Source organism: Homo sapiens, chromosome 3, assembly GCF_000001405.40.
Source record: "Homo sapiens chromosome 3, GRCh38.p14 Primary Assembly".
NCBI lineage: Eukaryota > Metazoa > Chordata > Mammalia > Primates > Hominidae > Homo > Homo sapiens.
Window position 1 is genome coordinate 124,446,979 of NC_000003.12, and position 16,531 is coordinate 124,463,509.

Consider the following 16,531-nt stretch of genomic DNA (forward strand, 5'->3'; position numbering starts at 1 on the left):
AAAAATACCTGGCTACAGTGGCAAGGGGGGAAGCATGTAAATGTCCTAAAGGATTGTCTCTTTAGAAACCTGAATACCCAAAGAATTGCAGCTGCTGGGTAGAGCAGCTGTATGCAGGAAGTCAATTGCTATATACTGTGCTTCCAGATACTCATCTTCATGCTTCAGGTTCTGGAATCTGCTGTATTCTTTCAGACCAAATCAGGGAAAAGGGTGTATTCATGTAAAAATGTCACATGTGCATGTGAACACTGCAGATATCCACATATTCTTGCACTTTGAGTGGTTTGGGAAGTCCACCTTATTAGAAGGGCTAGTGACTATATATGGGTACACAAAACAGGTGAATTTCTCCTTTTCTGAGCTATTTCCATCTGGCCTCAAACCCGCTCATGAGCTAGGCTAGGCTGGGTCTCTGGGGAGCAAAATGTGCAAGGATGTACATACCAATTCATACCAAGATTGTGGGAAATGCTATAATAGAAGGAAACCTGATTTTCATCTGTTTTCACAGCCAGGATTTGATCTGAGGATGCTTGGGTTTGAATGAAAATCTGATCTGTCTCAAGTTCCTCTTTGTAACGTCCTCATCTCTCACACGGGGCTCCTTGCCACACAGGAGGCTTTTTTGGCATCACTTCCACACAAAACATATGCTCTTCCCAGGTTAAGAGATGTTCTTGTTGGGGTCAAGGTGGGAAACATCCTATCCGGAGATCCCTCTGACACTATAAGGAATGTTCCTCTGGTTTGGTGTGACAAATTAGGCCCTTAGCCTCATTCCTGAGCTGATATTTCAGAAGTGGCTATCCACTCTATGAATCTTTTCCTATGAACTCTCAATATTGGGGAGCCTCTCCCTGCATCCTTGTGAATTTTGGGCCTTTTTGTCTAATGCAAAAAGCTATGAGCACAGATAAGAGACTCATTTCAATACCAGTAAAAGCAAACAGCACAAAGAAGGTGGCAGATGCACAGAACCCTATTCAAATCCAAATTAAAATGGCTGTGAATTAACAAGTTGGCTTTATCCGCCCTTCTCCAAATAGGGCTTATAATGAGCCATTAACAGGCTGAATAGTATGAGATCCATTGGTGTTCCTGTCTGCATAGGGTGGATCACAGCAGATACCCAGAACGTCATAGGATCAAAATCTTTCCATAATCAAAGTGGAAATGTGAAGAATTGTTCAGTCAATCTTATTCATCCTACCTTTGTAACTGTCTTCATATATTTCTCCTCTTTTTCATTCACATAGCTACTACCCTGAGCTGTAGTAGCTTCCTAATTTGATTGCATGCCTTTGGTCTTTCCTTCCTTCCAATCCACCCTGTCCTTTATTGCTATTCATCTTTAAAATGCTACTTTGGTCACATAACCACCCAGATCAAGAACTTTAATGATTTTCCAATGCCTTTAGGATAATGCTCCACAACTCTACAGCTGTGCTACCCTACCTCCCCAGTTTTATTTTCAATTATTATTTTATGCAGGCTTTATGCTCCAGCTGAATGGATGTATTCTCTGAGCCTCTGAGAGATACATCATATTCTTTTTTGTCTATGTGCCTTTTTTCATACATTTCTCTGCCTGGAATACCCTTCCCTTCCCTCTAGTTTGTGCTTTTTAAGAGGAGCCCCTCCTTTCCACTCTAGAGCCTCCTCCTCTATGATCCTTCCCACATACCAGGATATGATCCAGCTCATCCCTGCACTACGGCCCTTGTCCGTATAACCCTTCACCTGGCACAGACCATCTCTCCTCCAGTAATCTATGCAATGTTATTGCCTATATAAGCCGACAGGATACTTAAAGACAAGAACCACACTATTCATTTTGAGTTCCCTAGGTTACCTAACTGCATTTTACACATTCAAAGGAGGCTACAACCATTCAAGACCATAAGGAAAAAAGGAAGTTTGAGTAGATTCACCCCCTCCTCATTTATATTTAATATGAATCTTCTACTTTGGCTGTCTATGTTCTCTGTCCCTCCTGATGTAACTATCATGTTCCAAATCTCATGGTTATTCATATTAGAATATCTACAGGATAACAAACCCAGTTGAGGAGCTTCTGATTAGAGGCAGCAGCCTCCTGCCCCACCCTAATCCCACTTTCCAGAGGTAAACCTCTTCTAATCAGCTGTCTTTGATTATAATCTTTATAACCAATAAAATGAATTTGAAATGGAAACCAAATTGACCTTTAGCCACAAGAGAATACATACAGTGGCCCTTATGGTTGAATAGGGCAGTGGAGTACATTGAATTTAATAATACTGTGGTCCAAAGGAACAGACCAAGTAGAAGAACCATTGGATATAGAAAGATACTTTCTATGTAAAAGCTCACAAATACAAGAATAAAAATGAAATAAAAAGTTTGAATGAGGAAAAAAGGAAAACATCATTTTCATGTTGTGGTAGGCCTATAGACAGTCCATTAAAAGTATAGAAATGGTATTTTCCTATTATGGGTTTCAAAATGTATAAGGGGTCAAGGCACACGGAGATGGGGAAGCTTAGTCATCATGACATTTGAAAGAACTCCATTTCTTCTAAAAGTAAAACTTTTTAAAGATTATCTTGTTTTTCATTTTTTACAAATTCCATGGTTTTTACTATATTCACAAAGTTGTGCAAACATTGCCACTGTTTCATTCCAGAACATTTTCATTACCCTAGAAAGAAACCTCATGCCCATTAGCAGTCACTCTGCATTCCCTACTCTCCTCAACCCCTGGCAACTACTCATCTGCTTTCAGTCTCTATGGGTTTGCCTGTTTGGGCATTTCATATAAATGGAATCATACAATATGAGATCTTCTGTGACTGGCTTACTTCCCCTAGCCTAATGCTTTCAGGATTCATCCATGCTATTCGCATGTATCAATCCTTTTGTCCTATTATTGCTAAATAGCATGCCATTTCATTGATATACCACTTTTTGTTTACTATTCATCAGTTGATGGACATTTGGGTTGTTTCTGGCTTTTGGCTGTCATGAATAATGCTGCTATAAACCTTTATATTCAAGTTTTGGCGTGAACAGATGTTTCAGTTCCCTTATGTGCATACCTGGGAGTGGAATGGTTGGGTTATATGGAGTTCTACTATGTTTAACTTTTTGAGGAACTGCTAAACTGTTTTTCAAAGTAGGTATACCATTTTGTACTCTCACCAGCAGTTTGTGAGGGTTCCAGTTTCTCCACATCCTCACCAACACTTGTTACTGTGTCTTTTTATATAGCCATCCTAGAGGGTGTGGAGTGGTATTCATTGTGGGTTTTGATTTGCATTTGCCAATGACTAATAATGTTAAGAAAATACTTTTTTAAGCTGGTAATTTCATCTCTGAAAATGAAAGAAGCCTTGAGATAAACTGGACTTAATTCATCTTGACAAAAGAAAATTAAGTAGTAATGAAAGCAACTGGAGCCTTAGCTGAACTAAACTATGATTTCCTGAGATTCAGATAGCAAGGAAAGGGAACACTGGGGTTGTCAGATGGTACTTTAGACCGAGAGAGGTAGAATCTAAACAGTTCAGATAAAAGATAGGCGTGATGCTATTTCTGAGACTCTTTTTTTTTTTTTTTTGAGATGGAGTTTCACTCTTGTTGCCCAGGCTGGAGTGCAGTCATGTGACCTCAGCTCACTGCAACCTTCACCTCCTGGGTTCAAGTGATTCTCCTGCCTCAGCATCCCATGTAGCTGCGATTACAGGTGCTTGCCACCAGGTCTGGCTGATTTTTGTATTTTTAGTAGAGACAGGGTTTCACCATGTTGGCCAGGCTGGTCTTGAACTCCTGACCTTAGGTGATCCACCTGCCTTTGCCTCCCAAAGTGCTGGGATTACAGACATGAGCCACCGCGCCTGGTCTTTCTGAGACTCTGAAGAGGAATATAGTTCATATGTGATGGAAAGTTTTGAAAATTTTGGTTCTTTTATGTATAATAACAAACAATCCCCTGCTGAATGAATCAGAAGATGTATTTCAAGAAACCTATTCACCTGCACAAGGAGCTCAGTAAATTTGTGTCTACAAAAAAAAATTGATAAGGAATATCAATATTCCTTATTATTATCTCATTATAAGGAATATCAATAATGAAAGGCAAATATAGAAAATTATGAGATTATAAGATTACTATCAAGAAGACAAAATCTTAAAGTCTTGTAAAATGTGCTAAAGTCAAAAGGGCTTTAAAAAAATTTACTCAGAGTGAGGCTCACTGATTAGAGGAAGATCATAACCAAAGATAGAAAGAAAGGGAAGGAGGAAAAGAGAGAGTGGGGAGGGAAAGAGAGAGGGAGGGATAGAAAAAAAATAGAATTACTGAACCCCTCTTTTGAACCTCTGTCTTTTCCAGCAGATAACTAGAATTCAAAATGGAGAGGCAAGACATAAATTAGGGGACACATGAAGCCCAAGATAAGTGAGCTCTCAGGTCTAGATTTCCAGGCCCAGATGAATTATGGTACCCAAAGTTTCCCTTTTGGCCACAAGATCATGTCCATACTTCTGAACTTTTCATTCAAGAACTGCTGCAGTCTGACCCCATTTTATTAGTTTCTATAAGTTACTGTCTTTGGAGGAAAGATTTGAGTTTCAAGTGGGCTTAGGTTGAACGAGAAAAGATATGTATGGCCACGTGTGGAAATAAAGAAGATAGAAGCGATGTGTCTGAACCTCCCAGAAACCCAGAAAAAGCTCAGTGACTCAGCCCCATGGGAAGAACAAGAAATGTGGCATAGTGTCACCTCTGGAGATGAAAACTGGAATGTCACCCAAGACCAAGGGTGTCTCAAGCAGCCACGTCATCTGGTCATCATCTGAGAGTGGAAGACCAGAATCTGTATAATGTTCTACCATTTCTATACCACAGCTTCCTTTTTCTTCTTCCTCTCTGCTTTCTGTGATTTCACTTCTACTCTGCAAGCAATCACCCAGATCCCTGTCTGTACAGTTTAAATCCTCAGGGAAACAACCCCAATTGACCCAGCTTATTTCTAGTCCCCTATTTAGACACAGCTTTTAGGCCAGGACACCTCAGAAGTCACTGGCTGCATCTTGATGGGCTGCCCTCATAAGACAAGTTTTTACCTCTGATCTCAAAAGCTGTGACCAGGCATTTGGCAGGTCATGTGGTGCCACCACAATCACCTATGTATAAGAAACCATTTCAGAATACTCCCAGTGGGGACCATGGCCATGGTTGATGTCTAAGTGCACTTATCCAATTCATGGGCCAAATTTATCATCTACTTCTTCCCAATAAAAATCTTCAACTCTTGCTGGTCTAGCTTTACTCACCTCCAAACACAAGATTTGCTCATTCATTCATTCAGTCAACATTGATGGTATGCTTACTATTTTCTAGACACTGGAGATATACAAATGAATAAGATATAATACTTACCTTTTAGGGTTCATGGTCTAATGAAGGAGACTTATAAATAATGTGATGTATGCTAAAATAGAAGCATGTATGTGATACTGTGGGAACACTGGGAAGGCATTGCCCACTTGTTTTTTGGGGAGGAGAGGAGAGGAAAAAGGGCATTCAATTGAGAGTGGGAATGAGTAGGAACCACTCATCACAGCAGGAGAGGCATGCAACATTCAACATGGCTGCAGTGTAGGGAATGAAGAGCAGTGGAGACAGGGCTGCTACAAAGGTAGGTGGAGCCGCATGGGGAAGGGCGTGTCTACACTTCCCTCTACCTACTTCCTAAGGATGCATCTAAACTCATTTTACTGTCTCTTTGCTCCTCTAGTCCCCACACATACCTAGAATACTCTTGGTCACAAACTATTTGCTTTGCTGACTCCGAATCACAATTTTGATGTTTTAAGATATAATTTTCTCTGGTAGAGCTGCCCTAGTATGGCTGCTGCCACCAGCTGGCTGTAAAACCCTTTCTTATAGGTGGAGTCACTTTACCAAGAGCAGAGAATATGTATTTCCAAGACTTTTCCATAAACACATGGTCTCTGTTTTAAGTAAATAGAAAACCAAAGAAAATTGTTTTCAGGAAAAATAAAAATAAAAAACACCCTACATGCAATAAGATGAAAGTCCTCAGGATGCTTAGACACTGGAGATATATAAATGAATAAGATGATTAAAAAGGGGTTCAATAATTCTAGTTTAGATAGAATCAAGTAGATTCTATTTTGAATAGAATCTGCTAATTCTATCTTAACCAATTCTCCCTGTTATTACTCTGCCTTTTCATGGCTGAGGAGATGTTTCGGCTATCCTCACACCTACCTCCTTTCCTTCACACCAAAGCTCTTGCCCTTTATCTTCCAGTGCCAGGCACCAGCCTACTGTCCTGAGATAGGAGAGGCTCCATGTGCCGAGTGAGCTACTGGAGAGCTGGATCCCTGGTCCCTGGTCCCTGGCCATGTGTGCGGCAGGCAGAGCACTCTCAACTCTCCTCTCTGACGCCCTCTTTCTCCAGCATTTCTTGGGAGGGTTGATCTCTCATGGGAGGGGCTGTAGATAGGCCTGGAAGGAGCAGATGGGGTGAGGATAGTAGAATAAAGAAAGAAGGGCTCTGTTGTTTTTTCTGCTGTTGCTCCAGTGATGTTTTGCCTCAGTTTCCCTGATATCTAGATTGTAGCATGGTTTAAACCTTGGACCCACTTTCCTCCAGTCCAAAAGATAATTTTTCTTCTTAGAATAGTATTTAAATGTTCTTTCCTTTCCCTGAGCAATTTCAGAGTTTGAAAATCCAAACTTAGGATTAAAAAATAAGCAGCAGTCTGCTTGTTGGGTGTCTCTCTCATTCCCATGACTTACCCAGCTTAAGTACTGCTTCTCCGTGAGACCTCCCCTACCCATGCCTGTCCGCCTTCATTTTCTCCTTTTAAAATTCCTATAGTGTTAACTCTACATTCTCCCATTTTGACATTCAATTACATAATGCCCTGAGTTATTTACCTACTCTGTGTGAAATGAAGATTTTTTTCCTTTTGTTTGACCCCCAAGCCCTAAACTATAGCTCTTTACACAGTACTACGGACCAAGTAGGTATTGAACAAACTCTTGCTAAAAATGAAATTAATCCAGTAAACATCAGAGTTCTACTTTACCTAGTCCTATAATAGATGATGGCTTTATTAACCTCTTTCTCCTGCTCTCTAATGGAAACTAAAGACAAGATTCTGGTGGTGACAGGGACAGAGTTAACTCTTAAATCTGCTCATTGTATTTATTTAGATCCTGGCATGTGCCAACTTATATGAGGTTTAGAGCTGGTACAGTGGAGAGGGAAACTAGGAACTAAAGGGCAGAGACAAATAGGCTCTGTTTGCTCACTGGTAGTATGAAGTTGGACCAGCCCTAAGCCTCTCTAAGCCTCAGATTTTTTTCATCTGTGGTTCAAAGAGACCTGCATCACTTCCCTCCACCTACTTCCTAAGGATGCATCTAAACTCAAATGGCTTTCAGATACAGTAACACACTATGTAAATTAAAAGCATATTAATGTAAGAGATTCTTACATCAGTAATAATAATGGTTAATGTTTATGGCTTACTGAGTTCTTACTGTCTTCCACTGTACTAAGCATTCTACATTTGTCAACTCATTTAATACACCAGCCCTCTGAAGTAGGATCAGCCCTCCGTATCTACAGGTGTCGCATCCGTGGATTCAACCAACCATGAACTGAAAATGTTTTTTTTTCAAATGGATGGTTGTGCCTGTACTGAACATATACAGACTTTTTTTGTTCTTGTCATCATTCCCTAAGCCATACGGAATAACAACTATTTACTTAGTATTTACATTGTATTAGGTATTGTAAGTAATTTAGAGATGATTTGAAGTGTTCCTGAGGATGTGGGTAAGTTGTAAGCAAAAACCACACCATGTTATATAAGGAACTTGCATATCTGGATTTTGGTATCCATGGGGGGCCCTGGAACAAGTTCCCCCCACCCCAGCACTGAGGGATGACTGTAATATTATGATTTCCTTTTTGCAGATGAAGAAATGGAGGCACAGAGGGTTTCAATAACTTGCTCGAGATCTCCCAGTTAGTAGTAACAAAGCTGGGATACATACCCAGGTAGTCAGCTATGAGGTATCTATGGCTGCTCTAAACAGGAAGAGAGGATTTGGGGTGAAGGGGCAGGAGAATAAATGTAATCCAGTAACTTAAGGCCATCTTTTGGGGCAGCAAACAAAGGAGAAGGTGAAGCTTCTGATTCAGCTGGCCGATAGCTTTGTGGAAAAAGGCCACATTCATGCCACGGAGATAAGGAAATGGGTGACCACGGTGGACAAGCACTACAGAGATTTCTCCCTGAGGATGGGAAAGTACCGATACTCACTGGAGAAAGCCCTAGGAGTCAACACAGAGGTAGGCAGGGGTATTGTCCTCTGGGACATCCTCCCTTCTCATCTCCCTGAGCACCACTGCCCTCATCGCCATGGAAGAAAAGCATGTTTCCAGAGCAGTTCTTCTGAGCTATTGACTCCTAGAGCGCTTGACTTGTGTGGCTTTTCTAGTGGGGAGTGCTGGGTGGATCTTGCTGATCCATTAACCTTCAGTCCCCTGTGATTAGTACTCTATACATTACAAAATCGACTGGCCAGTAGTGGGGCCTATGGCTACAGAACAGAGTTTTTCTCTGTATAGAGTTAACTGTTGACTTTGAGAACCAAAAGCTTTATCTTGGCTTCATAAGTACCATCTTCCACCCAATTATGTTAATCAGCAAATGATTAGAGTCCCCAGTATATATAATAGTACTCTTTCAAGAATAAGGGGTGCAATTTGTACAAGGGTTATTTGACATTTCAACCGAACAGAGGTACAATTTGCCATGAACCAGGGAAGATGGACTTTTAATCTCTTCTTTATAATAGGGGTTAGTAACCTGTGAATTAAGAGCTTAATACAGCCTGGCAATTTAATCCTAGGATGTCTAATTCTTAAATCTTCAAATAGGCTCATGATCTGAAGCAGAGCAGCCTGGAGAGTGAAGTGGCCAAACTACCTAAAGTTGAGAGAGTTAATGTCTCCCCCAGGCTTTAATCTGTGAGTTTTTATCTAGGAAGTTCCATCATATATAAATACCAAATGGTGGTTAAAATTAGCAGGGATGAGCAATGAGAAAGTTCAGTCATTGCTCTGTTATTTAGCTTTCTGTTTCCAAGGGAAATTTCTTGTTTAAATAAATATATTTGATTTGATTATTTTCTTTTGACAAATGAAAGATGTTTTTATATCTTTATGTGTTTTTGTTTCACATCTATTTTAAATGGTTAAGAATCAGTCTTAGACTAATTTACGGGTGTGTTTAGATTTAATTAGGACCAAAGGCCTTGGGGAAATAGACACATAATTATCAAATATGTTCATTGTTTTTTCTTACTATGGATATTTACCCTAAACATTTGACCTGAACATTTTATTTCTCTCTTATTTGAAAAAACAATAATGATACCATGAAGAAGAGTGCTTATGGGTATGAGTCTGTAAGATCCCTCATGTTTTTATCCTTCTCCATTATATCTTTTTTTCCCCCTTTTACCACCTCCCTCAACTCCAGTGAGTTGCTTTCCCAAAGCATCACAAGGTGACCTTTGTGATCCCTCCATGTGCAGGATAATAAGGACCTGGAGCTGGATATTATCCCAGCAAGCCTTTCGGATCGGGAGGTCAAGCTGCGGGACGCCAACCACGAAGTCAATGAAGAGAAGCGGAAGTCAGCCCGGAAGAAAGAGTACGTGTTGGCTTCCGCCCAGCTAGCTGGCTCCCCGTGACTATGCTGGGCTTTCACCGCTACTTGTCCCTTTGGATAGCTTAATATGTTCTCATGGCCACCTACAGGGATTGGGATGGACAGACATAATGTTTGCATTGAGAATATGGGTTCCCTCTGAAGGCTTTGAAGTCTCTCCAGTCTGTCCTTCACCTGAATTCTCTTTACATTTCAGTAACTTCCTAGACAAACCCTTCCTCATAGATCATCACATTTTACTTCACAATGTCAAAACTCAACTTGGAACAAATCAAATATTTTTTCTTCTCCTCCAAATTTTATTCTGCCTTCTGATTTTTTTTTTAAGTTTTTTATTTTTTGGGACAGAGCCTCACGGTGTCACCCAGGCTGGAATGCAGTGGCATGATCTCAGCTCACTGCAACCTCCGCCTCCTGGATTCAAGCAATTCTCCTGCCTCAGCCTCCCGAGTAGCTGGGATTACAGGTGTGCGCCACCATGCCTAGCTAATTTTTGTATTTTTAATAGAAACGGGGTTTCACCATGTTGGCCAGGCTGGTCTCGGACTCCTGACCTCAAGTGATCTGCCCGCCTCAGCCTCCCAAAGTGCTGGGATTATAGGCATGAGCCACCACGCCCAGCCTCTCCCTTCTGATTTTCTAATTCCCATCAATAGTGTCACTAACCTTCTAGTTTTGTCTGGATTATTTGCAAAAACTTCCCATAGCTTTCCTGCTGCTGGTCCCTGCCCAATTCACCTGCACAGTGATGCCAGGTTTACCTTTCTGGAGTACATTTTATTATTGCTAATATCAATACTCTTCCTGCCACCAGCACCTACACTTTTTATGTCCTAAACATTACATAAAGTGCCTTTACACACATTTTCTCTTTGTATCTTTCTATCGCTTCTTTCAGGCAGCTATGATTATTCCCATTTTACATATAATAAGTCTTAGAAAAGTCAAGTAATTTTCCCCAAACCACACAGATGGTGAGCAATGAAGCCAGAATTTAATCTAGCTTTGACTCTTCAGCATTCTTTGATTTCTTTCCATTATGTCTCTCACCAGCTTCAAATTGTAAATGGTTTGCTACTACCCCTGGAATAATGATAAAACTCAAGGTACTGCTATCGTTTGTCCTCATCTAAGTCAATTTTACTTCAAAATACTTTCTAGTTCAGATCACACCCTTCAGTCAGATCATTTTCACTGACTCCTCTCAGGTCTAAGAATAAATTGTATATAATTGAGAATACTCTGCTGGCCGCGTGTGGTGGCTCACGTCTGTAATCCCAGCACTTTGGGAGGCCGAGGCGGTTGGATTACCTGAGGTCAGGAGTTCGAGACCGGCCTGGCCAACATGGTGAAACCCCGTCTCTACTAAAAATACAAAAATTAGCCGGGCATGGTAGCACACGCCTGTAATCCCAGCTACCTGGGAGGCTGAGGCAGGAGAATTGCTTGAGCCCAGGAGGCAGAGGTTGCAGTGAGCCGAGATCACGCCACTGCACTCCAGCCTGGCTGACAGAGCAAGACTCTGTCTCAAAAAAAAAAAAAAAAAAAAAGAGAATGCTCTCCTTTCTGTTTGTTATTTTCCCTTTCGTTTCCCTTCCTTTTTTTCCTGTTTGGTTTTATTTTGCTCTGTGTAAGTCCTATTGATTCTTTAAAATCCAGCTCATATCCTATGCCTCTATAAATCCTTTATCTACAGCCCCCACTGTCATTGGCCCATCCTTTTATGAACTCCTTTACTTCTGTACTGATTCCCATTTTACTTATTCAGCCAATTCTTAAGCATATGTCCCTAGCTAGATTGTAGACTCCTTGAAAACAAGAAGTATTTTATACTCTGTAGTATGGATCAAGGGACTAGCAGAAAAATGAAGATAACATAATTATTGATCAAGAAAAGCTTATAGTCAGGCAGGGCACAGTGGCTCATGCCTGTAACTTTGGGGGGCTGAGGTGGGCAGATCACCTTGAAGCCAGGAGTTCAAGACCAGCCTTGCCAACATGGCAAAAACCTGTCTTTGCTAAAAAAAAAATACAAAACTTAGCTGGGCATGGTGGTGTGCACCTGTAATCCCAGCTACTCAGGAGGCTGAGGTATGAAAATCCCTTGAACCCAGGAGGCAGAGGTTGCCATGAGCCAAAATTGCTCCACTGCACTCCAGCCTGGGCAACAGAGCAAGAATCCATCTCAAAATAAAAAAGAAAGGAAAAGAAAATCTTATGGAATATAATTGGATATAGAAATTGAAACCTTGAGGGAAGGGCAGGACGTTATTTAAAATCACAAAACAAATAAGGACTGTAACATCAATTTCTTTACTTGAAGTTGAGGGATATACCACTGGGCCAGAAGAAAATAAGGCATGCTTTAGGAGGCATTCCAGCATCAGATGGGCCCTCCTCCCCTGACTTGCTCTAGGTATTCAGATTTCAAAAGGAAGAAAGAGGTGCTTGGAAATTGGTCCAGTGAGTGAATTGTAGATGTTAGAATGTAAAGCTGCCACCTAAGTTTACTCCTAGGTCAGCAATAGCCCATGAGGAGATGAGGCAGAGGAAAATAGGCAAGAAGAGAGTAGAGGATGCTGAGATTCAAACATTTTGCAAGAATCTGAAGTAGCTGAGGTTTTCATAAATTGAACTCTGTTTTCTCAGAATAAGAATGAATAGGGGCCAGAATTCATTTAGTGAGCTGGAACCAACTTATCATTAGATTCCTGCTTTGCTCTCTAAGTATCTCAGCTCCACTTTCAGAAAAGTCCTGACTCCAGGTAGGCAAAACACATTTTTCTTCTTTGGTTGTTTGGTAGGGAGTTGTCTACCAACATTTCACTCTAATCAAGAATTACAGAGCATTGGACAGGGTAAACAATGAACCGTACCAATCTTATAAACCATTTCTTGACACTGCTTCCTTTATGCTGGAGTTACAAAGTAACACATATCTAGAGATTTCTGGAGGACTTTATAAAGAATATTTTGACACTCTGTTTGTGAATTACTAGAAAAAAATAGTATGTCCTAAGATTAAGAAGCTCTATATAGTTTATTTTATCAAGATGAAGTAGGACCACAGGTTCCTTGGAGATGAAGAAACTAAAGCTGCTGTGTGAATCAGAGCTTGTTCATATGGGGAGTGGATTTGTTTGTTGGGGCTGCTGTAACCAAGTACCACAAATTGGGTTGTTTAAAGAGCAGAAATGTATTGTCTCCCAGCTCTCGGGACTAGAAGCCTAAACTCAAGGTGTCAGCAGGGTTGATTCCTTCTGAGGGCAGTGAGGGGAGGGTCTGTTCCAGGCCTCTCTCCTTGATAGCTTGTAGATGGCTGTTTCCGTGCTCACGTGGCATAATCCCAGAATATATGCCTGTATCAAAAATTCCTCCTTTTGTAAGGACATCAGTTGTTAGATCCAGGGGCCACTCTACTCCAGTACTGCAGTGATACTGTTTCCAAATAAGACCAAAATCTGAGGTATTGGAGGTTAAGACTTCAGCATATGAATTTCAGAGGCGTCATAATTCAGCCCATATCTGGGAGGGGGATGAGGGGACTATACCTGGCCAGATCTTCCTCCTTGGTTCCTTCTGTGACAACAAATAGCCAGAAGAGATTAAAGGATGGGTGGAAAATAAAATGGGGTGGGGATAGCAGAGGTAAATTGTGAGGAAAGACAGGTAAAACTGCAGGAAGCGGATGAGAACAAAAGAACAATTCTAGAAAACTTAAGGCAATAAAATCAAAGGCAAGTTCTCAAAGGCCGTCAGTTTATGTTCCTTCTGATCTCCCTTCTGTCCTCATTTCATCGCAATCTACAGCTCATTTAATCATGGAATGTTTCCTGAGCACCTACCATGCACTAGGCATGTTGCTTACGTGATCTTGTTTAATACTTGCAGCAATTCTGTGTGATCAGCTATTTTATAAGTAAGGAGTCTGAGACCTGGAGAGGCAAGTCCTACCTCTGGTTGTAATTCAGTTCCTATCTGTCTGACTCCAAAGCTTATGCACTTTTTACTCTACCAATAGAGTTCAATTCAAAGAACAGAAAAATATAGAATATACCACAACGAGGCCATGTATCGTAAGTTTAACAATTGTCTAAGCACATTGTATTATTTAGAGGCCCAAGGAGGAAGAGAACCCTCTCTTTAAAGATGCATAACACAGACTTCTCTTTATGGGGGACTGAGAAGCAGTCACTTATTACTAATTTATACTGTGCTTATGGTTGCACGTTCAGTTTTCTACACATCCGTTTATGCTGTAAACAAGTCCCATTGGAAATAGTACTGAAATAGCTGAGAGGATAATCTAGGTCAGAGGTCAGCAAACATAGACCAAATTTGACCTACCAACTATTTCATATGGTCTATAAACTAAAAATTATCTTTTATATTTTTAAATAATTGGAAGAATTATCAAAAGAAGAATATTTTATAATGTGAAAATTAGATAAAATTCAAATTTTAGTGTCCATAAATGTTTTTATTGGAAAACAGCCACACTTATTTTTTTTTACACATTGTCTATGGCTCCTTTCACATGACAACAGCAAAGTTGAGTGGTTGTGACAGAGACCGAATTGCCCACAGAGATTTATTATCTGGCTCTTTATAGAAAAATTGCTAACCCCTGATCTCGGTGTGTTGGACCTCTTTTCCTGGCTTTGAAACCTGGTTTATTATGATACTAAGAACTGTTTTGGTATATATCTACAAACTCTACTGAACAGAAATCTTCATTCTGGGAGCTGTAGGAGAAATGTGGAAAGCTGAGATTCAAGCTATCTAGTTTAGTTGGTGAGACAGAATATGAACAGTCCTACATGCCTGTACTCACATGAATATCACCACAGAATCACAAGTATTAATAGTAGGACTGGGGTGGAAAAGGGAGAGAGAATATGGACCTAGCTGAGCACAAACCTGCTAAAGGGTTACAGGGCCAATGGTCAGGAAATATCACAAGTATCATAGGAAGATACTTGTAGGAAAGGGAAGGAATTTTGAAGAAAGGAAAAGACCTGTTGATGAAGTAGAAAAATAAGACATTTAAGAATGTCATACATGCTGGGGTGGGGAAGTGAAGTTTGAAGGAGGAGAGACATTATATCTATATCCAAGTAAAAGCCCATTTGTTTCCTTCTAGATTTATTATGGCTGAACTACTCCAGACAGAGAAGGCTTATGTAAGGGATTTGCATGAGTGCTTAGAGGTGAGTCTTCCAGTAATCCGTTCACAGCTATATTGGAAAAATGACATCCTTGCCAGCATCAAGTCCTCAATTGGAATTTGGTGCTATTGGTCTTCTCCCAGAGAGTAATGAATTAAAAAGTCAACAAGAGGAAATCTTTCTCCTAAAGTCAACAATAATTACATGAGAGTTTAAAGTACTTTTGAAAAGAAAGTTTAAACTTTTCTCAGACTGGAGCTAGACCCAGGAACAAGAAGTGTGTAAGGCACTTCAATTCAAAATAAAACCATGACACAGTCAGTGAACTTAAATTGGGTCTGAAAATCTGCATCCTGACCCCCATAAAAGTCCACACACATTTAATAAATGACAAGAGACTGTGGAGTTTGTGTTCTTGCTAAAGTTCAGGATAATGAAATATTCAGGTTTTATTTCTTTCTCTTATGTTTACTTAACACGTCACTTTTTAAACTCTGCACGCATTTACAGTTTGAGTCTTGCCCCACAAGTTTGAGCACCTGTGTATTTTGTCTGTATTTTATATGGCCTGCCAGACTTGCCAGTGATGAAACTGTTACTGTCTTACAGACCTACCTGTGGGAAATGACCAGTGGTGTGGAGGAGATCCCCCCTGGGATCCTCAATAAAGAGCATATCATCTTTGGCAACATCCAAGAGATCTACGATTTCCATAACAAGTAGGTTTGTGGAGGGTCTCAGAGGTGCACACTTAGGCCGTAAAAACCAGACAACAGGGTTCCCAAGAAGTGGATCAAAGGCGATTGGTGAATCTTATCTGGTCAGTTTTCTAAGGCAGTTGCTGTCAGACTTCTTTTTTACTCACTCCCCTTTCTCCATAATTGTCCGAAAGTCCTAGTGGAGAGTAAAGTCAAGTATTCAGCAGTGCTCCTCCCCATCTCTCCTCAACATCCTCATTTATTCAGCCAGAATGAATAGCAGGCTTTGAAGAAATAAAAGTAGCTTCTCCTCATTAAATCTTGTGGGAAATCCTGACGTTAGAATTCATCTGAGGCTAACCATTCCACCTTGTGATCTTTAGGTTTTGAATTCCATTGAAGTTTTCTATCAACCTAAATATTTCCTCCATCCTCATTTTATTTCACATTTCTTGACAGTTTGGAGGGAAGGATATCAACCGATACTCTGTTTTGTTGGAATAAGTAGAATTGTAGAGCCCTAAAACTTCACAAGTCATTGTTTCCAACTTGATTTAAGAATTTTTCCCACACCATACAAAACAGCATGTTCCATGGTTAACAAAGGATCAGCAAAAAAATTGGCATGATAAGTTACATAACCAACCAATAGAAATAACTGTGTTTCCAAAATACAAATAGAATCTCAAGACACAAAGAAGAACATGGGCATAAAGTCTTAGAGCTCTCAGGACCCTGCTGCAGAGCAGTGCTGTGCCAGGCTAGCAGAGGCATTTACTGAGTTGTGTAGGTTTGCTGGAGATAGAAGGGCCATGTGTACAGGTGTAGCAGCCACCCTGAGGCAAGACTCCAGAATAGCACTGTCCCATGGAACCTTCTGCAATGATGGAAATGTTC

General features: G+C 40.5%; 1 protein-coding gene across 40 annotated transcripts in view; it reads left to right on the top strand.

Moving 5' to 3' along the window:
• KALRN (kalirin RhoGEF kinase) overlaps positions 1–16,531 on the top strand; it is a 692,957-nt gene that overhangs the window by 413,610 nt on the left and 262,816 nt on the right. For all 40 annotated transcript variants that reach the window (NR_170953.1, NR_170952.1, XM_006713810.4 and 37 more), the window contains 4 exons: positions 8,199–8,381; positions 9,632–9,750; positions 14,912–14,978; positions 15,546–15,655. Coding sequence is in view for 38 of the 40 variants with exons in the window: in XM_006713810.4 (XP_006713873.1) it covers positions 8,199–8,381; positions 9,632–9,750; positions 14,912–14,978; positions 15,546–15,655 (479 nt within the window). In the remaining 2 variants the exon portion in view is untranslated. The remainder of the gene's footprint in view (positions 1–8,198; positions 8,382–9,631; positions 9,751–14,911; positions 14,979–15,545; positions 15,656–16,531) is intronic.